This window comes from Homo sapiens, chromosome 3 (assembly GCF_000001405.40).
Source record: "Homo sapiens chromosome 3, GRCh38.p14 Primary Assembly".
NCBI classification, from domain to species: Eukaryota; Metazoa; Chordata; class Mammalia; order Primates; family Hominidae; genus Homo; species Homo sapiens.
The window spans coordinates 152,743,141-152,768,079 of record NC_000003.12 but is presented as its reverse complement, the minus strand read 5'-3'; the positions used below and the strand labels follow the sequence as shown (position 1 = coordinate 152,768,079).

The 24,939-nt window shown below is 35.0% G+C and overlaps 1 annotated feature.

The window, feature by feature from the left end:
- Positions 7,833–7,902: an enhancer, noted in NCBI's record as "active region_20711". NCBI's record gives its function as "activates an Ori minimal core promoter by ATAC-STARR-seq in GM12878 lymphoblastoid cells {active_cell/tissue: GM12878}" and the evidence as "EXISTENCE:reporter gene assay evidence [ECO:0000049][PMID:35858748]".

Below are 24,939 nucleotides of genomic sequence, written 5' to 3'. Positions count from 1 at the left end.
CTGCATAGTATTCCATGGTGTGTATGTACCATATTTTCTTTATTCAGTCTATCATTGATGGGCATTTGGGTTGGTTCCATGTTTTTGCTGTTGTGAATAGTGCTGCAGGAAACATACGTGTGCATGTATCTTTACAATAGAATGATTTATATTCTTTTGGGTATATACCCAGTAATGGGACTGCTGGGTCAAATGGTATTTCTGCTTCTAGATCCTTGAGGAATTGCCACACTGTCTTTCACAATGGTTGAACTAATTTACGTTCCCGCCAACAGTGTAAAAGCATTCCTATTTCTCCACAGCTTCGCCAGCATCTGTTGTTTCTTGACTTTTTAATCATCACCATTCTAACTGGTGTGAGATGGCATCTCAGTGTGGTTTTGATTTGCATTTCTCTAATGATCAGTGATGTTGAGCTTTTTTTCATGTCTGTTTGCCCCATAAATGTCTTCTTTTGAGAAGTGACTGTTCATATCCTTTGCCCACTTTTCGATGGGGTTTGTTTTTTTTCTTGTAATTTTGTTTAAGTTCCTTCTAAATTCTGGATATTAGACCTTTGTCAGATGGGTAGATTGCAAAAATTTTCTCCTATTCTGTAGGTTGCCTGTTCACTCTGATGATAGTTTTTTTTGCTGTGCAGAAGCTCTTTAGTTTAATTAGATCCCATTTGTCAATTTTGGCTTTTGTTGCAATTGCTTTTGGCAATTTCATCATAAAATTTTTGCTCATACCTATGTTCTGAATGGTCTTGCATAGATTTTCTTCTAGGGATTTTATGGTTTTGGGTTTTACATTTAAGTCTTTAATCCATCTTGAGTTAATTTTTGTATAAGGTGTAAGGAAGGGGTCCAGTTTCAGTTTTCTGCATATGGCTAGCCAGTTTTCCCAGCACCATTTATAAAATAAGAAATCCTTTCCCCAGTGCTTGTTTTTGTCAGGTTTGTATAAAATCAGATGGTTGTAGATGTGTAGTCTTATTTCTGAGGTCTCTATTCTGTTTCATTGGTATGTATGTCTATTTTGACACCAGTACCATGCTATTTCGGTTACTGTAGCCTTGTAGTATGGTTTGAAGTCAGGTAGCATGATGCCTACAGCTTTTTTTTTTCTTTTGCTTAGGGTTGTCTTGGCTATACAGGCCCTTTTTTGGTTCCATATGAATTTTAAAGTAGTTTTTTGAATTCTGTAAAGAATGTCAATGGTAGTTTGATGGTAATAGCATTGAATCTATAAATTACTTTGAGCAGTATGGCCATTTTCGTGATATTGATTCTTCTTATCCATAAAGATGGAATGTTTTACATTTGTTTGTGTCCTCTCTTATTTCCTTGAGCAGCGATTTGTAGTTCTCCTTGAAAAGGTTCTTAATGTCTCTTTTTAGCTGTATTCCTAGGTATTTTATTCTCTTTGTAGCAATTGTGAATGGGAGTTCATTCATGATTTGGCTCTCTGCCTGTCTATTGTTGGTATATAGGAATGCATGTGATTTTTGCGCATTGATTTTGTATTCTGAGACTTTGCTGAAGTTGCTTACCAGCTTAAGGAACATTTGGGCTGAGATGATGGGGTTTTCTAAATATAGGATCATGTTGTCTGCAAACAGACAATTTGACTTCCTCTCTTCCTATTTGAATATCCTTATTTCTTTCTCTTGCCTGATTGCTCTGGCCAGGACTTCCAATACCATGCTGAATAGGAGTGGTGAGAGAGGGCATCCTTGTCTTGTGCTGGTTTTTAATGGGAATGCTTCTAGCTTTTGCCCATTCAGTATGATATTGGCTGTGGGTTTGTCATAAATAGCTCTTATTATTTTGAGATATGTTTCATCAATACTTAGTTTATTCAGAGTTTTTAACATGAAGGGATTTTAATTTTTTCGAAGGCCTTTTCTGCATCTATTGAGCTAATCATGTGGTTTTTGTTATTGTTTCTGTTTATGTGGTGGGTTATGTTTATTGCTTTGTTTATGTTGAACCAGCCTTGCATCCCAGGGATGAAGCCGATTGATCATGGTGGATAAGCTTTTTAATGTGCTGCTGGATTCAGTTTGCCAGTATTATATTGAGGATTTTCATATCAATATTCATCAGAGATATTAGCCTAAAGTTTTTTATTGTTGTTGTTTTGTCTCTGCCAGGTTTTTGTATCAGGATGATGCTGGCCGCAGAAAAGGAGTTATGGAGGAGTCCCTCCCTCCTTTTCAGTTGTTTGGAATAATTTCAGAAGGAATGTTACCAGCTGCTTTTTGTACCTCTCTTAGAATTTGGCTGTGAATCTGTTTGGTCCTGGTCATTTTTTGGTTGGTAGGTTATTTATTACTGACTCAATTTCAGAGTCGTTAATGGTCTATTTAAGGGTTTGACTTCTTCCTAGTTTAGTCTTGTGAGGGTGTGTGTGTCCAGGAATTTATCCATTTCTTCTAGATTTTCTAGTTTATTTGCGCAGAGGTATTTATAGTATTCTCTGATGGTAGTTTGTATTTCTGTGGGGTCAGTGGTGATATCCCCTTTATCATTTTTTATTATGTCTATTTGATTCTTCTCTCTTTTCTTCTTTATTAGTCCAGCTACTGGTCTATCTATTTTATTAATTTTTTTAGCCAGCTCCTGGATTCATTGATTTTTTTTGAAGGGTTTTTTGTGTTCTATCTCCTTCAGTTCTGCTCTGATCTTCATTATTTCTTATCTTCTGCTAGTTTTTGGATTTCTTTGCTCTTGCTTTTCTTGTTCTTTTAGCTGTGATGTTAGAGTGTCAATTTGACATTTTTCTAGCTTTCCAGTGTGGCTACTCAGTGCTATAAATTTCCCTCTTAATACTGCTTTAGCTGAGTGCCAGAGATTCTGGTACGTTGTCTATTTGTTCTCATTGGTTTCAAAAACTTCTTGATTTCTGCCTTAATTTCATTATTTATCCAGGAGTCATTCAGGAGCAGGTTGTTCAATTTCCATGTAGTTGTGTGGTTTTGAGTGAGTTTCTTAATCTTGAGTTCTAATTTGATTGCACTGTGGTCTGAGAGATTCTTTGTTATGGTTTCAGCTCTTTTGCATTTTCTGAGGAGTGTTTTACTTCCAATTAAGTGGTTGACTTTAAAGTAAGTGCCACGTGGCACTGAGAAGAATGTATATTCTGTTGATTTGGGGTGAAGAGTTTTGTAGATGTCTATTAGGTCTACTTGACCCAGAGCTGAGTTCAAGTCCTGAATATCTTTGTTAATTTTCTATCTTGTTGATCTGTCTAATATTGACAGGGGGATGATAAAGTCCCCCACTATTTTTTTTTTTTAGACACATTCTCACTCTGTTGCTCAGGCTGGAGTGCAGTGGCATGATCTCTGCTCACTGCAATCTCCGCCTCCTGGGTTCAAGCAATTCTCCTGCCTCAGCCTCCTGAGTAGCTAAGATTACAGGCTTGCACCACCATGCTAGGCTAATTTTTGTATTTTTAGTAGAGACAAGGTTTCACCATGTTGGCCAGGCTGGTCTCGAACTTCTGACCTCGTGATCTGCCCGCCTTGGCCTCCCAAAGTGCTGGGATTACAGGCGTAAGCCACTATGCCCAGCCCAATGTCCCCTACTATTATTATGTGGGAGTATAAGTCTCTTTACAGGTCTCTAAGAACTTGTTTTATGAATCTGGATGCTCCTGTATTGGGTGCACATATATTTAGAATAATTAGCTCTTCCTGTTGAATTGATCCCTTTACCATTATGTAATCCCCTTCATTGTCTTTTTTTGATCTTTATTGGTTTAAAATCTGTCCTGTCAGAAACTAGGATTGCAACCCCTGCTTTTTTCTGCTTTCTATTTGCTTGATAAATTTTGCTTCATCCCTTTATTTTGAACCTATGGGTGTCTTTGCGCTGAGATGAGTCTCTTGAATACAGCACACTGATGGGTCTTGACCCTTTATCCAATTTGCCAGTCTGTGTCTTTTAATTGGGGCATTTAACCCATTTAAAATGGGCCTGTATTTGAAGCTAGCTCTGCCACTTACTATATGTCTGACTTTGTAGAAATTCCTTCGCCCATCTTTTCTGCAACACAGGGATAATAACTCCTGTATGCTGAGTTGGGGAAAGTTTAAAATAAGGTAAAATATAAGCAATGCCTTGTAAGTATAAAAATTATACATATTATTATCACTATTATTGAAAGCTGACATAATTCAAACACATTTTTATTGGCTTTTTACATAGAAGATATTTTTGAATTATATTTGCCACTTAAAATCAGGAATTTGTTTTTCAAAAAAAAAGCACTAATTTCATTGCATGTTTTAAAATCAGTTCAGACTATGTAAGTTTGGCATGATAGAACTCATGCTCTTAATAACAATCCCTCAGATACTAAAAAATCCACAAGTAAATTTTGAGTTATCAAAAAAGTGTTTTTATTCATTTATTCGATATATGTTAAGTGTCACTGTGTGTACCAGGCACTATTCTGGGCTCTGTCTGAGTATACAGCATTAGACCACAAACCAAGATTCCCAGGCAGGTAGTAAATGGCAGAGCTAGCTCCACATACTGGCCCATTTGACTTCAAGATTTTGGCAGACCCATATGACTGCATGCTTTTCCATTCTGTAATGGAAACTTCAATGTATAAATTAGCTACAGTAAGCCAGGCACTGTACAGGGCACCTTATATATATATGCTAATTGTTTTAATCCTATAATTATTTTATGAAGTAGATACTATATCTACTTCTGTATCCATAAGATTTGAACTCTCATGGAGTTTAAAATCTACTGGAGGGAAAAAACTATAAACAAAATAAATAAGTAAAATATATAGTATATTAGAAAGTGATGAATGGCAGTGGGGAAACTAAAATGAGGAAGAGGAATATGGTTCTTGACATTTTAAAAAGGGTTATTAGGAAATGTTTCTCTGTGAAGTTAATATTTGAATAGCAATCCGAAGTGGAGAAAGCAGGTCTGATCAGATGTAATGATGGAACCTCGAGGTGACCAGAGTGGCTGGAGCAGAGTGATTAAGGGAACATACCAAGAGAGGAAGACAGGGATGTAACAATTAGGTGCAGGCCATTCTACATCACTGAGAATTCAGGTTTTTAATTCACATTAAATGCAGTTGCCTGTGGCCAGCTCTGAGTAGGAAGTCACATAATCTAACTTTAACAAAATCACTCTGGTAGCTGTGATGAGACTATAAACATTAGGGAGATTATGTAGGAGGATTCTGCAATCATCTAGAAGACACATGATGAGGTTTTGGCCCACCATTTGGTAGCAGAGGAGGTTGTGAAAACAACCCAAGGTGGAATGTGTTAAAGTTGAGTCCATAAAATTCACTGATGAATTGGTATGAAATGTGAGAAGAGAAAACTGGGAGGAGCAGATTTTGGGGAAAGATCAAAATCTCAGTTTTGGACATGTTAAGTTTGAGATGCCTGTTAGAATCCAAGGAAGTATGTTGATTTGGCAGTTGGTTATGTGTTTGGAGTGATCCCAATGGAGTTATAAATATGTTAAATATAGTTCAACATTACATATATTTCATTTTGATCCTATGCAAATTTTTCACCAGGTCAGATTAATATATGGCAAAGCAACTCTTTTTTAAATAGAACAGTAAATTAAATAGATCACTTTGCTCCTCAGTCAATTTGAATAAATTATGAGGCTAACAACAGAAAGACCACAAAAAACATCTGAGCATCACCATTTATGTATTAAACAACATTTGAGAATAAAATTATCACATTTTATTTTGCTTGTTTGATGCCCTTAGAACAAGTAAAAGCGAAACTAGAAGGTGTGACTTCAGAACAATAATGACACTGACAAGTCAAACAAATGCTGAAGAAAAACCATTAAATAAAAGTAAAATTTGAAAAATCCCTCAGAAGCAATAAAACTCAGTTAATAGTTTGATTAATATTTAGCAGATTAATAATGAAGTCTATTTCAGTATATTGTTGTGTGTATGCGAGCATGCAAGAACGTGTGTGTACAAACTAACAACATATGCAAGGTGCTGTTCTCAAAGCAGAAGATTTCATCATACTATTGCAATCGTCACATTCCATGTAATTCATTTAAATCCAATAAGTGTATATTAACCCCCATTTATGTATATCTGTAGTCATATTTCTAGTTACTAGAATGCAGCTCCTTTAGTCAATTCCACATACCATAATTCCACTCATTTTTCAGTCCTTTCCCTTCATGAATTCTTTCTAAAACTTTCTAAATTTACATGATATCCTCCAACTCTTCGTAACCTTTGAACTTTTTGAAATGCTCTATTCAGATACCTAGAAAACTGATTGGCAGAGAATAGGCACTCAGAAAATATTTATTGAAAAAATGGGTAAATAAGTAAATTAAGAAACAAAGCATATTCTATCCTCTCTTTGCAATTAATAGTGAACATTTTACATTAAAACTTCTGAGAAGTTGTACGGTAAGGATATCCATTTAACTTTGTCTTTCCTAAGCTTATTTGACCTCCTTATTTTTTTCTCTCTTAACCTACTTACTTAGAACTCTTTCTGGGAAGCATGTTTTGGGTAATGCAAACGTGGGGGGATGGGCTACTAAGGCACTACAAAAATTCATATTTTAAAAATATTGGCTACTTTATAGTTTTTTCTTATACTAGTTTTATTTTGGAAGAATGCAATGGTATCTTAGTGTGCTTTTTTTTTTAGCAGGGACAGAATCTTTCCCAGGCTGTATTGCAGTGGCGAAATCACAGTTCACTTCAACCTCAACTTCCTGGGCTCAAGCAATCCTCCCACCTCACCCTTCCAAATAGCTGGGACCACAGACACCACCATGCTAACTTTTTTGTTATTTGTAGACAAGGTCATGCTATGTTGCCAGACTGTTCTCAAACTCCTGAGCTCAAGCATTCTCCTGTCTTGGCCTTCCAAAGTGTTGGGATTATAGGCATGAGCCACCACGCCCAGCACTTTGTAATTCTAAAGTTCCATCAAAGAGTGATGGCCTAGGTTTTGTGTTACGTCTATATTATCACAAAAATATTTATAATCTCTAAACATCTGTGCCTCCTTTATGCACATGATGCATTAGCAGTGTAAGATAAGAAGACAATATGCATTTTTCTGTACTGTGTTAGAGGTAAATTCCTTGTGTGATAAATCGCAGTCATTAGAAGTAATTAAAGGAAGCTAAATAGGAATTGATTTGGAGTTATATAACCAAAGCAAGACAATCACTACAACCGCTCATTCAATTATGTCTACAGTGTAAAAGCAGCAGAAATTGAAGATGTCTTAAGATAACCGTGATTCATTAGTTTTAGCTTTTGCTAAGTAGTCAAACTGAAAGTTTGAATTGCTCTGTTCTATAATTGAAGAAAAAAAAATTGGGGGGGAAAAGGAAAAGAAAAAGAAAGAAATAGAAATAAGATAGAAGACTTGCCCCTCTTTTCCATGTTATTATTCCTATAGAGTAGAGGTCAGCAAACTTTTTCTTGAAAGGGCCAGACAGTAAGTATTTGAAGCTTTGTGAATCATATGGTCTTTGCTGAAACTCTGCCACTGTGGCACAGAAACACTGAAGAATGGACATGACTGTGTTCTTATACTATGTTATCTACGAAAACAGGCAGCTGGGTAGATTTGGTCCACGAGTAATAGTTTGCAGTCCCCTGTTGTAGAGGACAAAAGCTCCCCAAGCTATAGCACTAGTCAGGCATCTGTGACAGAGCGTGTATCCTCCAATACTTTCGGATTTAAGAGGTTCCTCAAAGTCAAATCTTTTCTCACATTTGGTCAACCTTAGTGCTTTAAATTCTCATTATGGTATCATTATTTTAGCCACTTCCTTGGTTTAACACATTTCCACACTAAATCTCTTCTCAAGCACAGAACAGATTAACATACAGTAACTCATTCATTTATTCACTTCTGTCAGACAGAACATTAGTAGATGGCCTACAGATAAATTTATCTGGGGAGTTGTGGAAAGGGTAAGCCTGAGAAAGTGTAGCTGAGGGACATCTAGGCCTTTTGTGAAATTTCAGTCTTGTTGGAAAAGAACCAGATGAGAGGAGGGGACACAAAAAAAGTCAAGCCAGAGCTTGCCAAAATTAGACCTCACTGCTTCAGTTTTCCTAAGACTGCCTTTTGTCTGTCAGTAGAATTTAATTTGACTCAATTCTATTTCTGTAAACAGAGATATGGAATGTTGTTTGTGAAGTATGTTTGGGGAGGTAAGAGAGGAGACAAGTGGAGAGTGGAGATTTATACCCTATTTTTGACACTTGCAGATCTTTTTTCTTATTCTCTTATATATGGAAGACACTAAATAAGTGCTTCATGCATTGCATTACTTCACCTCCACTTCTAAAGAGAGGAAAAGTTATCCAAGTTCTCTTTTAGCTTTTCCTCTCTTGACCTATTCCTATATTATTGCTTTCTTTTTTACTTTTGCTCCTTCATCCTAATGGCCAAAGTGGCAGAAGATGGGGAAAATGAGGGAGAAAAAAGCAATAGGATATGGTTAGGTATGAGGGACGAAGGGACAGGAACAAGAAATAGGACATTTTTGACTTTCCACATTTCTGATCACAATTTCTCCCATGACAGGAAAACATAATGACTTTAATCTACAGAAATAAGCACTATGTTTACTTTAAAATATCTTAGCAAGCATTGGAGAATATTATTATTTAATTCCAAGAAAATAAACAGGCACTCCAATAAAGACTTAGAAGGATTAATTTTTCATGTAATTTTAATAAGTATAAAAGGGTATGAAAAGCTGTCTATGGTTTACTGTGGATAAATTTCAACTTCTCAATCTTTAATAAAAGTCATCATTATGCAACTGAATTTGTAAATTCTCTGTTAAAAGATGATTTTGTGATCAAAGTAAATGAAATACAGACCGCATGAACCACATATGTTCCTAAGCACAAGTTTCTGGTATAAAATTTATATTGTAGCAATTCAAATTCATCTTACCTGATGAGTAAAAACATAAAGTTAATAAAATATCTGGTAAGAAAATAAGTGTCACTTATTTTTAAAATGATCTAATTTTATGGAACATAATCATATGTTTATAAATGCTTGGGATATGAATGTCTTTGCCCAACATTTAATACAGAAAATGTATTACAGTGAATATGAGTGTTATTTGTAATATAAACAAAACATGAAAGGTTAATCAGAAATGCCAACAAAAATATGATACATAATTCTTCCATTTTCCTAGTTTCAAGTTTCTTGCATGGCCTCTAAGCTACAATACTTAGAACTAGAAACAATACAATGCAGACCCGAAAATTAATAAATGCAGATTTTCATCATTAACTACAAATCCCTTTCCATATGCTTACATATGTTTTCATTTTATTTTTAATATTTTTCTCCAGAATGAATTTTGGACTTTCCCCTCCCCATTTGCACACGGCGTAACACTTAGTAATGAGCTAAAAGAATTTATGTACTAAATACAATAACAGATCCAAGTTAATGATCCTGTAATGCTCTTGACCTGTCTGATGTGATCTGAAGAAGTGTGTTTTCACTCGTTGCACACTTTTTCTCCAGCAGCTCAGAGAGTAGCACCACAGAACTTTTAATATGAGGGACTTAGTCTTCTCTTCAATTGGCTATGAACTTATAAGTGGATAGAAATGACTTAAAGAAGTCATTTCATGCTTTCTTTGCCATAATGATACATAATCATCAGATGAATCCTCAAGAAACCTCTTCAAGAATACAGTATATAGATAGATAGATGATAGATAGATAGATAGATAGATATAGATAGATAGATAGACAGATAGATAGTTAGATTTAAAGCCGAAAAAGACAGAGGTAATACTAAATGACCTTGTAAAATCTATTGCATCTTCTAATCTGATCTCACTAGCCAGACCCCGGGAGCCTCAACAAACAGGCCATAGAGATAATTCTCTAATGACCTGATTCACTACTGTCAGCAAAGGTGACATTGAAATCAGACAGCATTTCCATATCCTAGCACCAGTAATAAAATAAATCCCTTTCTCTTCTGCAGTGATCTATTTCAATGTGTAATATGGTTTCATTAGTATCAGGCTTTGAGCATTTTCATTCTCATAACACATGTATTTCTCATAGTGTTCACCTAGTTTTTGCTCAGTCCTCTCAATATTCTAAAGTTTGTCTCAAATCTACCCTTATTCATGAGATAGTGCTACCCTGAAGTAACTTTCCATTTCTCAATCTTCTAAAACATCTATTATGACAGATACTTTGGTATTTTTAAAATATTATGTATTTAGTCTAAACATTTCACCAGTATAAATCTTATTTTTCTAAGTAATGGAAATTGCATTTGATTCAAGTTTCTATCTTGAAACATATATGCATTTTGAAGTAGATTATTTAATGATTACAGCATGATGTTTCAAAGAGGCATTTTGAAAGGTGAATGGAGCAGCAAATGTTTATAACAGTGGTTTTTGTTTCAATTCCCTTGTAAGTATTTGACGAAAAGTAGATCCACGTTGATTGATAGAATGGAGTATATCAATACAATTAGAGAAAGTTGTGTAAAAAGAAAAACGCTGAAAAATTCTCAGAACATTTTTCTTTCAGTTCCTCTGTCCCTACAAATGTTAGAGGTTCTGTTTTCCTTTCTTGCTCTTATGTTTGATTTGTATACATTTTCAATGTTTGTTATTTAACATATAGACATTTTGAACATTATTTATGTTGATAACTTTGTAAAGAGAGTTAGACTTATGTTGAACTTAAACCAAACTTCTAATTATTACTTCCATGTTTTTACTCTAAAATTCTACTGACTAAAGACTAACCATTAACTTTTTAATGATGCATCCATCTCTATTATGGAGAGAAATATTTGCAAGAGTAATGTTTTCATAGATACTCCCATCAAAATACAAAAGAATCAATGGCCTGACCTCTCAGGTGTCCAATATATAGATGCTTGGAACAAAGTCTTCCTAATCTTCCTAGGAATACTCAAACTTAATGTGTGCTTTTAAGGTTATTCAAACTCAAGTCCAGATTTACAAAGATAATCTACTTACAGAGAATTGACCTCACAAAGGTTGCCACTCCTAATATTCAGAAGCAAATTCTTTCCTGGAAATAAGCATGTGCTTTTCACCAGAGAGAAGAATAAAAAGTAAAATTGGTATGTCAGTCATTCATCTTGTCATTCTTTCATTCAGCATTTGTGGAACATTCATGTTTTTCACCCAAAGGGTATAAGTGTACTTGGCCAGATTTTGTAATCTACATAGAGAGCTAGAATGCCACATCTGACATTGAAGGGCTTCCCATTTAAAGTATGAAATTCAGTTCATTCATTTTCAAATATTTATTATGAACCTACTCAATTCAACACTCTTTCAGATGTGTTAAGGATGCAACTTTGAATCAGAGGAACCTGATTTTGCCCTCTCTGAATTTAAAGTTCATTGTAGAGGATGTACACTAAAACCTGAAGGACAAAAAGTAACTAATCATGCAGTGATACTGGGCCAGGACATTGCTAGCAAGAGTCTGGCTCTAACGTAGAAATGAGCCTGTATATTTGACTCCAAAAAATGAGTATGGCCTAAACACAGAAAACAATAAAAAATATATTTCTGTTCAGATTGTAGTGGGTGAAACAAAAGATGAGAGGTGGAAGAGAGAATTTTGTGACAGGAAAACTTTCCTAGAAAAAATGTCGTAAAGTGGAAACTCATTAAATGAAGGTGAGTGGAAGTTCATAGGGTAACAGAAGGGAAAGGGCATTCGGACAGGAGCTGCTAGACCCAGGTAGAGAGAGGTATGAGACAGAAGATGCATCTTAGGAAATGCGCATTGGCCTGTATAGCTAGGGTATAGAGTGGTGACAAGTGCAGCAGAGCACAGTGGCAAAGGAGGAGAGGCAGGCATGTCAGTGAAGATTGCTAATGGCTGCAAACAAGAACGCAAACAACATAGGCTTAAATAATTAACAATTTACTTTTCTAAGAAGAAGTTTTATGGTAAGCAGTTATTGACTCTGATCAGTAGCTTAATTACATCAAGAATAAAAGCCATTCTCGAGGCCTTCCCCTCATGGGATCAACATGGCTGTAGCGGCTCCAATCATGTCATCCTAACCCCATGGTAAATGTAGGAAGTAAGAGGTTGCGTGGCACAGAAAAATACCCTTTCTCTTACAGTATTTTTCTAATCAGGGATAAAAATTCTCTTCCAGAAACTCTCCAGAAAACTTCCTCTTCTACCTGGATAACATGCCCACCTCAGATGAAAAATCTAGATTTCCTAAGATCAAGGAACCTTGTTCTGTTAAGTCAAGGTTTTCTTAGCAAGGAAAAAGGAGGTGCAATAAGCATCATGCTGGCACTGATAGTGTCTGCCAGAGCAGGAGCTGACGATGGAGGGCCTCGGAATTTTGTGTGCTGTGATAGGCTTCCTCCTATGGGCAATGGGCCTCTAGTTGAAACCTTAGCTAACAATCACTTAGTGATAGTCACATTTTTGTGTTCCTTTATATTTCCTAATTAAAACATTTTTGCTGCCATTTGTACATGACTTTACTTCTTCCCTACTTTGCCCTTCCTCTTTCTGTGGGTTTTATAGATAAAATCAGTATAGCCTTAATTATGTTATTGTTTTATAATCTAGTACATTTGAATCTAATAAACAAAATCCACCAGAATTGAATTCCTTGTAAGTAGTTTCATAATATAGCTTTAGTCTATTAGGATAGACTTTTCTCTCGGGTCACAAATGTAGATATAAATATCATTTCTATTACCTTATTAATCATTATATAAACCATGAGTCATATATATTAATTTTTCTCTGGTAGGATCACTCTGCTAGGATAATATGGAAAGCATGAAGATTGATGCCTTATTTTGCTTTCATAAACAAAATAATCAATGACCTGTATTTTTTACTCAACTAAGAAAAAATGCAAAACTAACAAGTTCATTGATGATGAAAATAGTTTCCCACATTTTATTAGCTTTGCTTTTTTATGCCACATTAAATGAAGAAGTCTAAATAAATTCCCACCTGCTTAAAAAGTTCCTTCCATTTATGCTATAGGCAATTTAGTTTAATGTTTGCTACTTCTGCCCTAAGAAAGAAAAAAGTTAATAAATTATTATTACAAGGAACCATCTACAAATGAATGCATTGTCCATCTGTTATTTGTAACAGTATTTTATTGAAGTATGGTCTATAGAAGAAAACCATGCTTAGTAGCCAAGAGCTGTTATAAATTTGCAAATTAGGGGTTGAATCATGCCCAGGATGAAGTTCTAGCTTGTGGCAGCAACTATAGGAAATGGCTTTGCAATAGTGGGAGAGCAGTAATTGTTCAATTTAGTCCTTTGACAGTTCAGATTCTACCAAGGATTTCTAGAATCTCCTTTAGTAATTCTTCACTCAGAACCCCGTGTTACTAAGGATTTCTTAACTTTCTCAGCATGAGGACTTTTCTCTCAGAAACTTATGTGTTGTTCATTTTGCATCATGTTCATTTAGTATCTATGGTGAGAAAACAGAATGATAAGAAATTAACACATATCTAGAAATATTTAAAAATGTATTTGCTGACTCGGTTAAATGTAATGGTCTGATCATAGGTAATCACATCCTTTCCCTCCCAAACACCACAAAAATTAATTAAAAATAGAAATTTTGTTAATTAATGAGAACAAAGAGAAAAACAGAAAATATAACATCAGAAAAATCCTTACAGCAATATATTAGAAAGTGGAATAAGATGGAGGAGAGGTAACAGACATAGCAAAGCAGAAAATGACAAAAACTAATTCATCACACAGAGGGGCTTCTAATGGCAAGTGGGCTTTCTTACCTCACAAATCCCCTGAGAGTCTCTGATTGTGGGGAAACAGGTTACCTGGAAAGCAGAAGTCAGTTTAAGACTGAACACTCAGAGACTGTTTGAGAATCTCTTTACCCCTCCACAAATACACACTAAGAGAAAAGAGAAGTCTAGTCTCTGGAGAAGTTGATTCAGGAAGCAGTGAACACCAAGAAATTGGTTTAGGGTAGAACAAGGTGATTAAATTGTTCTACACACATCCCCTATACTACCCACAGCCCTTTCCTCTGCTCTGTTTTGAGAATACTTATTGCCATGTTTAATTTTTCCTGAAGAAAATTGGAGGATAATCTGTGTAAAAATTGTTTTTGAAAGGCCCCAGATATAGACCTCTAGAGATTTAGGAGTTGCTTGAGATGTATAGGAGTTCACTCTAAGTAAAGTCAACTAGTTGGACCTTGTCCTACACCTCAAGCATCTCCCCCACCACCCAGAGCTTCTAGTAAGTGTTTTGTAATTTGATAGTATATACAGATGTTTCCTGAAGAGGTAATGTATGTGATACAAAATTCTTTCTCATGACAAAGAGTGACTAAAATATTTATGAAAATGGGACCCAATTAAAACATATGAACAGGTCAAATAATACATATATAAAACAAGAAGAGGGAACTATTTTTAAAAAGCAATCAGAGAAAAAAGGGCACTGCAAAATAGAGTAAATTACAGTAAAAAATAAATCATTAGAAGTCAGGAAAATCTATAAACTATGTGGAAAATAAGAACAAAGAAATTATAAATATAGATTAATGTAGGTGGTTCGACATCCAACAAGTACAAATTTTAGAGAGAGAAAGAGAGTATAAAAAGAGGAAAGAAAATGATCAAGATATGATCAAAAATATCTCCAAAGTGTAAGGGCTTATGTCTTTAACTTAAAAGATCCCATTGAATTCCCAGAAAAAATTAATGAAATAATATAATATTCAAAGGCATATTATCATGAAGTTTCAGGAGACCGGGGTTTAAAGGGCAGATTTTTTAAAACTCACAACATAAATATTAGACTAGTAACACGAAAAACCGAAAGATATATAACAATAGTATTAAAAATTCTGATTGAAAATTATTTTCAGCCTATAATTTTATACCCAAGCAAGGTATAGTATCACTGAAATGTGAGGATTGAATAAAGACATTTTCAGATCTGCAATAATTCACAAAAACATGCTTCCTATTACTCTTTCCTTGGAAGCTACCACGATATATAATTCATGAAAAATGAAGTAGTAAATCAGGAACAAGGGAGACAGGGGATTTGAGAAACTTTGTCTTCTATACAAGAGAGGAAAAAAGGGACATTCCAGCATGACTACTGTGACTTAACCCTAAAAACCTAATAGTCTAGATTGAAGCAAGAAATAAAGATCTGTCAGAGTCAGATCTTCAATTAGAACAAGCAAACAAAACAAAAATGGAACACCAGGGGATTGATAGATGATTTGAAGTAATTGAGCCTTTGGAATAGTGTTGCCTAATGTTTGACATATCTGTGAGAACATTTTCAAAAAAGAATCAGTGATAAATAGGTAAGCAGATTTTAAAATAATGAAGTAGTTATCACCTTTAATATAAAAAGTCATGTAATAATAAAAACTTAATAAATATGCACTATTATTTCAGCAGTACATAATTTTTACACATAAAAATGATGTAAAGGCTGGCTAATGCTTTGGCACAGATGAGAGAAAGCAACAGTGAGGTTAGTTAAGAGTACAAAAATCCCAATTATCCTCAGTACTCCCAAATACTTCTAGTTTTCTTAACATCCCTATGTTTAGTACAGTAGTTCCATCTCCAACTTTATTCAGATATCCTTTATTAAATCTCTACAGTTCTTCTGGGAATTTGGTCTAGTACACAAACAAAGGAAGGATTCTGGATGTCCTGCCAGTTTCTCTTTTTTAAAATTAATTAATTATTTTTTTAAATTGACAAATACAAAGTATATATATTTGTCATTTACAACATGATGCTTTGAAATATGCATACATTGCAGAATGGTTACTTTGATCTAATTAACGTAAGCATTAACTTTTTTTTTAAGTGAAAGCAAGTTTATTAGAGAAGTGAAGAAACAAAAGAATGGCTACTCCATAGACAGAGCAACCTAAACATTAACTTATATATCATTTTTTATGGTAAGAACACTTAAAATCTGTTCTTTTACTAATTTTCCAAGAATACAGTACATTGTTATTAACTATAGTCACCATGTTGCATAAAAGAGCTCTTGAACTTATTCCTCCCGTCTATCTGAAATTTTATATTCTTTGACCAGCATCTTTCCAACCACCCCAAAACTCAGTCCCTGGTAACCACCATTCTACTTTCTGCTTCTATGAGTTTAACTTTTTAAGATTCCACCTGTAAATGAGATCATGTGGTATTTGTCCTTCTGTATCTGGCTTATTTCACTTAACATAATGTCTTCTAGATTCATACATCTTGTCAAAACAGGATTTCCTTGATTTTTAAGGTTGAACAGTATTTTATTCTGTATATATACTATATTTTCTTTATTCATTCATCTCTTGATGGACATTTTTAGTTTGATTCTTTACCTTGGCTATTGTGAATAATGCTGCAAAGAACATGACAGTGTAGCTATACACACCGATTTAGTTTCCTTTTTGATTCGTGATTTAATTTCATACATACCCAGTGGAGGGATTGCTGGATCATATGGTTATTCTAATTTTAATTTTTAAAGGAACCTTCATATTGCTTTCCATTGTGGCTGAAGTAATTTCAGTTACATGGTCTGGTGTACATAGTCTCACCAACACTGTGAGAGAGTCACCTATTCTCCACATTCTCAACAGTACTAGTTATATTTTGTCTATTTGATAATAGCCATTCTAACAAGTGAGAGGTGATATCTCATTGTAGTTTTAGTTTGCATTTTCTTGATGATTAGTGATGTTGAGCATTTATTCATATTCATGTTAGCCATTTGTATGTCCTCTTTTGAAAAATGTCTTCAGGTCCTTTGCCTATTCTTAAATGAGGCCATTTGTCTTCCTTATATTATTTCAGTTTTTTATATATTTTGGATATTAACTCCTTATCAGATGTACGGTTTGCATATATTTTCTTCCATTTCATAGGTTATCTTTTTCTCTGTTGCCTGTTGCCTTTGCCATGCAGAAACTTTTTAACTTCCTGTAATCCCATTTGTCTATTTTTGCCTACAGTTTTGAGGTCATATCCAAAAAATTATTGCTCACACCAATGTTGTAGAGTTTTGTCCATATGCTTTTAGCTAGTAGTTGTACAGTTTCAGGTCTTTAAGTCTTTAAACCATTTTTACATGATTTTTGTATATGGTGTGAGGTGATGGTCTAATTTCATTCTTCTGCATGTGGATATCCAATTGTCTCAACATCATTTATTGAAGAGATTGTCCTTTCCCTATTGTATGTTCTTGGCTCCTTTGTTGAAAAGTCAATTGACTGTAAATGCGTGGGTTTGCTTCTGGGCTCTCTATTCTGTTGCACTGGTCTATGTGTCTGTTTTTAATGCTAATACTATGATCTTTTGATTACTACAGCTTTGTAGGATATTTTGAAGTGAGATAGTGTGATGCCTCAATCTTTATTCTTTTTGCTCAAGATTTTTTTATTGTTCAAGGCCTTTTGTGGTTCCATAAAAATTTTATAATTGTTTTTTCTATTTATGTGAAAAATGTCATTGTAATTTTGATAGAGATTGCATTGATTCTGTAGATTGCTTTCAGTAGTATACACATTTTAACAATAATAATTTTTCTAATCCATGAACATGGTATATCTTTGCATTTATTTATCTTCTTCAATTTCTTTCAATGTCTTATAGTTTTCAGTTTATATGTTTTTCACCTCTTTGGCTAAATTTGTACCCAGGTGTTTGTGTGTGTGTGCGCTTGCATGTGCATGCATGTGTAGCTACTATAAATGGGATTGTTTTCATGATTTACTTTTTAGATAGTTTATTGCTAGTGTATAGAAGTGCTACTGATTTTTCATGTTAATTTTGCATCCTGCCACTTTACTGAATTCTATTATTAGTTCAAACAGCTTTTTGGTGGAGTCTTTAGGATTTTCTATATTTCAGGTTATTTCACCTGCAAACAGGGACAATTTAACTTTTTCCTTTCTAATTTGGATACGTTTCATTCATTTCTCTTGTCTAATTGCTCTGGCTACTATTTCCAGTACTATGTTGAATAGAAATGGCAAGAATGGGCACCCTTGTCTTGTTCCTTGTTTGTGTGTGTGTGTGCTTTCATGTGCATGCATGTGTAGCTACTATAAATGGGATTGTTTTCATGATTTTACTTTTTAGATAGTTTATTGCTAGTGTATAGAAGTGCTACAGATTTTTCATGTTAATTTTGCATCCTGCCACTTTACTGAATTCTTTTATTAGTTTGAACAGCTTTTTGGTGGAGTCTTTAGGATTTTCCATATATCAGGTTATTTCACTTGCAAACAGGGACAATTTAACTTCCTCCTTTCTAATTTGGATATGTTTCATTTATTTCTCTTGTCTAATTGCTCTGGCTACCACTCCCAGTACTATGTTGAATAGAAATGGCAAGAGTGGGCATCCTTGTCTTGTTCCTGATCTTGGAAGAAACGTTTTCAACTTTTCACCATTGAGTATCATGTTAGCTGTGGGCTTTTCATATATGGCTTTTATTGCATTGAAGTACATTTCTTCTATAGCTAATTTGTTGAGAGCTTTTAAGCATAAAAGGATGTTGAATTGTGCTTTTTTTTCTGCATTTATTGAGATGATTTTTTTTTGCCCTTTATTTGTTAATGTGGTATCACATTTATAGCTTTGCATAAGCCAAACAATCCTTGCATCCCAGGGATAAGTCCCACTTGATTATCATGAATTGTCTTTTTAATGTGCTCTTGAATTTTGTTTACTAGTATTTTATTGAGAATTTTTGCATCTATGTTCCTCAAGGATATTGCCTGCACTTTCTTTTCCTGTGGTGTTCTTGTCTGGCTTTGATAATAGGGTAATATTGGCTGCGAAAAATAAATTTGAAAGTATTCTCTCCTCTTCAATTTTTGGGAAAAAATGAGAATATTTGGTGCTAATTCTTTAAATATTTGGTAGAATTTAACAGGGAAGCCATCATTTTCTGGGCTTTTCTTTAATGGGAGACATTATATCATTTATTCAATATTCTTACTCATTATTAGTCTGTGCAGATTTTCTACTTCTTCATAGTTTAGTCTTGGTCAATTGAATTTGTCTAGAAATTTATCCATTTTTTCTAGGTTATCTAATTTGTTGGCATGTAATTGTTCCTAATAGGTTCATGATTCCTTCTGTGGTATCAGTTGCAATGTCTTCTTTATTTATGTGAGTCTTTTCTTTGTTTTGTAGATCTATTATTCTTTTATTTCTCTCTTGCTTCTGTAAAAATAAAAAGGTGAAAGTTGATCAATTTTGTTTATCTTTTTAGAAAAAACAACTCAGTTTTGTGGATCTTTTCTATTGTTTATCTAGTCTCTATTTCATTTATTTCTACTCTGATCCTTGCTATTTCCTTCCTCTTACTAACTTTTTGGGCTTAGTTTGTTCTTTTTCTAGTTCCTTAAGATATAATGTTAGGTTGTTTATTAGAAATCTTTCCTCTTTTGGATGTAATTACTTACTGCTATAAAGTTTTCTCTTGGAACCAATTTTGTTGTGTCCTAGAAGATTTGGTATGTTGTGTGTCAATTTTTGTGTTTCAAAATATTTTAAAATTTCTCTTCTAATTTCTTCTTTGACCCATTGGTTGTTCAGAAGCATGTTATTTAATTTTCATGTATTTGTGAATCTTTCAAAATTCCCGTTACTGGTTTCTAGTTTTATAGCATTGTGGTCAGAAAATATATTTGATATGATTTCAATTTTTTTACATTTTTACAACTTGTTTTGTGACCTAACATAGTATCTATCTCGAAGAATGTTTTATGTGCACTTCAGAAAAATGTGCATTCTGCTGCTGTTGGATGGAATGTTCTGTATGTGTCAGTTAGGTCCATTTGACCAAAAGTGTAGTTTCAGTCCAATATTTTCATATTGATTTTCTGTCTAGATGATCTATCTATTGCTGACAGTGAGGTATTAAAGTCTCCTACTATTATTGTATTACAATTTATCTCTTCAGATCTATTAATATTTGCTTTATGTGTTTAGGTACTTCTACATACCTTGCTTCTATATAGCTATATGCTTCTATAAACCAGAAGCGTATATATTTATAGTTGTTAAATCCTCTAATGAATTAGTCCTCTTTCATTATGTAATGACTTTCTTTGTCCGATTTTATCATTTTTTTAGTTAAAGTCTATTTTATCTTATGTATCTATATCTACTCCTGCTCTCTTTTGGTTTCCATTTGTATGGAATATCTTTTTCCATCTCTTCACTTTCATTCTATGTATGTCCTCAAAGGTGAAGTGGGTCTCTTGTGGACAAAATATAATTGAGTCTTGTTTTTTAATTCACTCAGCCACTTTATGTCTTTTGATTGCAGAATTTAATTCATTAACATTCAAGGTAATTATTGATATTGACATACTTACTATTGCCAATTTGTTAGTTATTTTCTGATTGTTTTGTAGATCTATTGTTCTTTTATTTCTCTCTTGCTGCTGTAAAAAAAAAATCTGAAACAATGATACATAAGACACTGGTTATCAGACAACAAAGGGCAGTGATCCTTGACAGTCACAAATCAAATAAATTGAGCCCTTATATTGCTCAGCTTACTCTCTAGGGACTTGGCAAGAAGAGAAAAGAAACCCAGGCAGAACTCTGCAGTCTCCCTAAATTGATGAGATGCAACGGCAAGTCCAGGAAGGCCAAAGCGGCTAGAAATTACAAGGCAGAGTACCCAAGATGTGAGAACCCTTCAAGGGTTCATTATACTACTGGTCAATATATGAATGGTAGTTCAGGAAAAGAACCACGTGGAAGGATTCAAGGGAACAACACTCAGAGACCACACAGGGTCAAAACAGAACCCAGGATCAAAACAGTGCCTCTATGCAACAGCCAGACTAGAAAACCTCATAATTTAGAGGGCATTGGCAAGAAGTACTAGCTATGGGGAAAGCTGAGGTGGGAGGCTTGCTTGGGCCCAAGATTTCAAGGCTGCAGTGATGATACCACTGTACTCCAGCCTGGGTGACAAATTGAGACCTTAAAAACAAAAATCTTGCCTCATTGTTGGAGAAATATTAGCCTTAGTTCTTCTCTGGTCTAACATTAAAACTAAAGCCCAAAAGGATCAAACTCTTGCCAAATAACCACATGCAGAACAAAAGTCAAGAATATTCACAAGAATATGAAAATATCTAGGCATAAAAGGGTTAAATTCACACTGGCAACTGAACTAAAAAAATTGCAATACCTGCAAGAAGCATGAAAATATAACTCATGAGAAAAATTGTTCCACTGAAGCTGAATTAAAAATGAAGTGAAATGGTATAATATCACTGCCTTATTTTTATAATATTCTGAGGTATTAGAAATTGAGACTTTTTTTCAGTGGGGTTAATTAAGCATGGAAAAGGAAATGGTGATTAAATGTAAAGTAGAAGCATAAAATTTAGTGAAAGTAAAGCTTAAAATCTTTAAGTACTCCTAATTATTTGGTAGAATGCTTGTTTTCTCTCCAAACAATAAGAAGAGGTTGAGAGCAGATTTATTAAAATCTTGAAGTGCATGGTAGTCCTGGTAGGCTGCAGGACTTAAGTATGCTGGCAACTGATTTCTGGGTTATACTAGCAAAACCAATCTCATTTTAGAATGGGGAATTCTTAAGTGTGGCTAGAGAAATAGCATCCAGATTTTGTACCAAGAACCCTCGGGGTGATTTAGGGTCATTTGAAGAGTCCTGAGATTCCACCTGGCCCTAATGAATACTGGACACAATTACATAGTACTAACAGGTATTAAAGTAATCTTCTTTTTCCTCCCTCTTCACTTTCCTTTAAGAGGTAACAAAATATAATTGACAATTTTATCTAATCTAGTCTCTGCTCATTACCAGAAAGACATAAATAGTCATAAACCTATTGCTTTGAAACTGATGGATATCCCAACCTCCCCCAGACCCAACTTTGCTTCACTTGTTGGAAATGGTGGTTTTGGAATTGAAACAAACAAATGAACAAGAACAAACAAACAAACAAACAAAAAATCTACTAAGCTTACTGAGGTTTTACATGGGCTTTGACCTTGGCTGTTCCACTATCCTTGCCTCCTCTTGTGGTATTTAACAAGGCACCAACCCTCCAGCCGTCATTGCTGCCTTTGCCTTTGTGCACCCATTAGCATTGACCTATGTAGAACAGAGTCCCACAGATCCCCTGGCAGTCCATATTAGTGAATAAAGCTCCTTAACAGCTACCCTAAGAGGCCATTTACAACCTGCTCAGGAATGTAAATTAAATGCAAAATAAAGCAAACAAACTTAACCACAGTACAATTTGGTTGATTCATTCATTTAACCAATCCTTAGAGAAGCAATTTTCTTTGACTTTAAATGTTAACTTAGATTTTGGCAAAAACACAGTTTTGTTTGTTTGTTTGTTTGTTTGTTTTTGAAGCTTGATTTCTAGCCATGATAACAATAAAAAATGCTGATATTCTGAAGGGCTTACTTAGGTAGCAAATTTAAAAGATTGGATTCAACTGATTATAGCTAAGAAATATTAGCTAATTTTACTAAAATATTGCTAATTTTAGCAAGAACAATCTTCACCTTTCCCAAATAACAGGTAGAACTGTAAGATCTTGACTAGGCCAGGATTAAGGGTCAGTCAGCTGGGCCCTTGCCCAGGGCACTAATCTATAAGGGCACACAGCTGGAGAAAAAAGATTATTTATAGAACTCCTCTCAGTGAGTGTATGAGGCTGAAAGGACTATTTTTTTAAGCTACTTGGAATGGGACAGGTAAGATCCCAAAAGATGTTGCTGAGAAGCCTGGCAAAAAATGAAAACAAGGTTTTTATTTTACCCAGTGGGGAGGGGTGAAGTCTAAGTTTAGAGACAGAGTGGAATTGACACATGACAATGGATAATGTACCTCATCTCCCACCAAGTGTCTTTTCTTAGTTTCCTTTCCTACAAAATCCCCATCCTCACCTTTAAACTCTTTTTTTTTTTGAGACAGAGTCTCACTCTGTCATCCTGGCTGGAGTGCAGTGGTGTGATCTCAGATCACTGCAACCTCTGCCTCTTGGATTCAAGCGATTCTCCTGCCTCAACCTCAGAGTAGCTGGGATTACAGGTGTGCACCATCACGTCCAGCAAATTTTTTTTTTTTTTGAGATGGAGTCTCGCTCTGTTGCCCAGGCTGGAGGGCAGTTGTGCGATCTCAGCTCACTGCAAGCTCTGCCTCCTGGGTTCACGCCATTCTCCTGCCTCAGCCTCCCAAGTAGCTGGGACTACAGGCACCCGCCACCACACCCAGCTAATTTTTCTGTATTTTTTAGTAGAGATGGGGTTTCACCATGTTAGCCAGGATGGTTTGATCTCCTGACCTTATGATCCTCCTGCCTCGGCCTCCCAAAGTGCTACGATTAGCTGCCGCACCTGACCCCTCATCTTTAAACTCTATTGAACAAATATTTTTTAAAAATCAGTGTGAGGAGGTACATAATATTTATCTGCATGGTGCACAGTATCATTAAGGCACCACATACCTTGGCCTTTTCTGGAGCTTAAGAACTTTAATCTTGTATCTCTGAAAGACAGAAATACAGATAAGGTAATAGTTATATGACTAGCTCAGATATTGAAATTAATGCATAATACAAAACCGTATTTTAGCATAAATAACGCAGTACAAGTGCTCAGTATTTATAATAGGTTCATTCTATCTGTCCTAGCATACTTTCTAACTTAACTGATAAGAAGTATTAAAGTGTTATCCTGGGCATTTTATCATTTTGTTTAACTGCTTTTCAGGGTAGATTTGTAAATTGAAAAAATATCTTAGAGGCAGGTAGTCAGCAAAGAAGGTGGCAAAAACAGGAGACTGATTTCTGCAAAAATTTTGGGGAAATATGCTGAAAAATCAATTGACTAGAGTCCTTTAGCGTTAGAGTTCAATAAGGAATATGTTGTGTTACAACAGGTAGTAGGATCTATACATATGCTTATTCTTCCATTTAACATATAATATTTGAGCACTGAAGTCTACTCCAGGCATTTGTTTATGGTACTGAGAAAGAGCAACGAACAAATTCCTGTCCTGTGGCGATTTCTTCCTAGAGAGAAGAGAGAGATAGCAATCTATTACATCAAATAGCAATGAGTGCTATGGAGAAAGATAAAGAAGGGAAATAGGGAAAGATTATACTGGGTGAGATGTTGACTGATTTGCTCTTTTATTCTACTTGGAGTGATCTGGGAAGACATCACTGGTAAGGTAAAATTTAAACAGACATCTATAAGAAGCAAGGGAGTGAGGCATGAGCTCATCCAGGGGAATGATTTCAGGTAAAGGGAGCAGAAAGCTCGACAATTAAAGGCATTAGTGCATTCAACTAGGAGGAAGAAGTCAATATGTGTGGTCATCAGAATAAGAACAAGAGTGGTAAGAAAAGATGTTGGAGAGATAGCAGAGGGCCTAAGTCATGTAAGGCCAACTGTTTATTGTAGGACTTTGTATTTTACTCCAAAAGAGATGGGAAACTATTGGGTTGGGGGGAGTTGGACAGAAGAGTGAGGTCATCTGAAAAATGTTTTTAGAGGACCACTTTGCTACTGTATTAAGCCTATGATGTAGAAGAGAAGCAGGGGAAGAGGCACAGAGTTCAGCAAGGAACTATTTTAATAGCATATGGAAAAAAAAGACAAAAGCATGAACTAGGATGGTGAGAAGTAGCCATAAGCTGGATATGTGGTGATATGGTTTGGCTTTGTGTGCTGACCCAAACCTCACCTCAAATCATAATCCCCACAATCCCCACGTGTCTAGGGAGGGACCTTTTGGGGGGTGATTGGATCATGAGGGCAGTTTCCCTCATGCTGTTCTCATAACAGTGAGTAAAT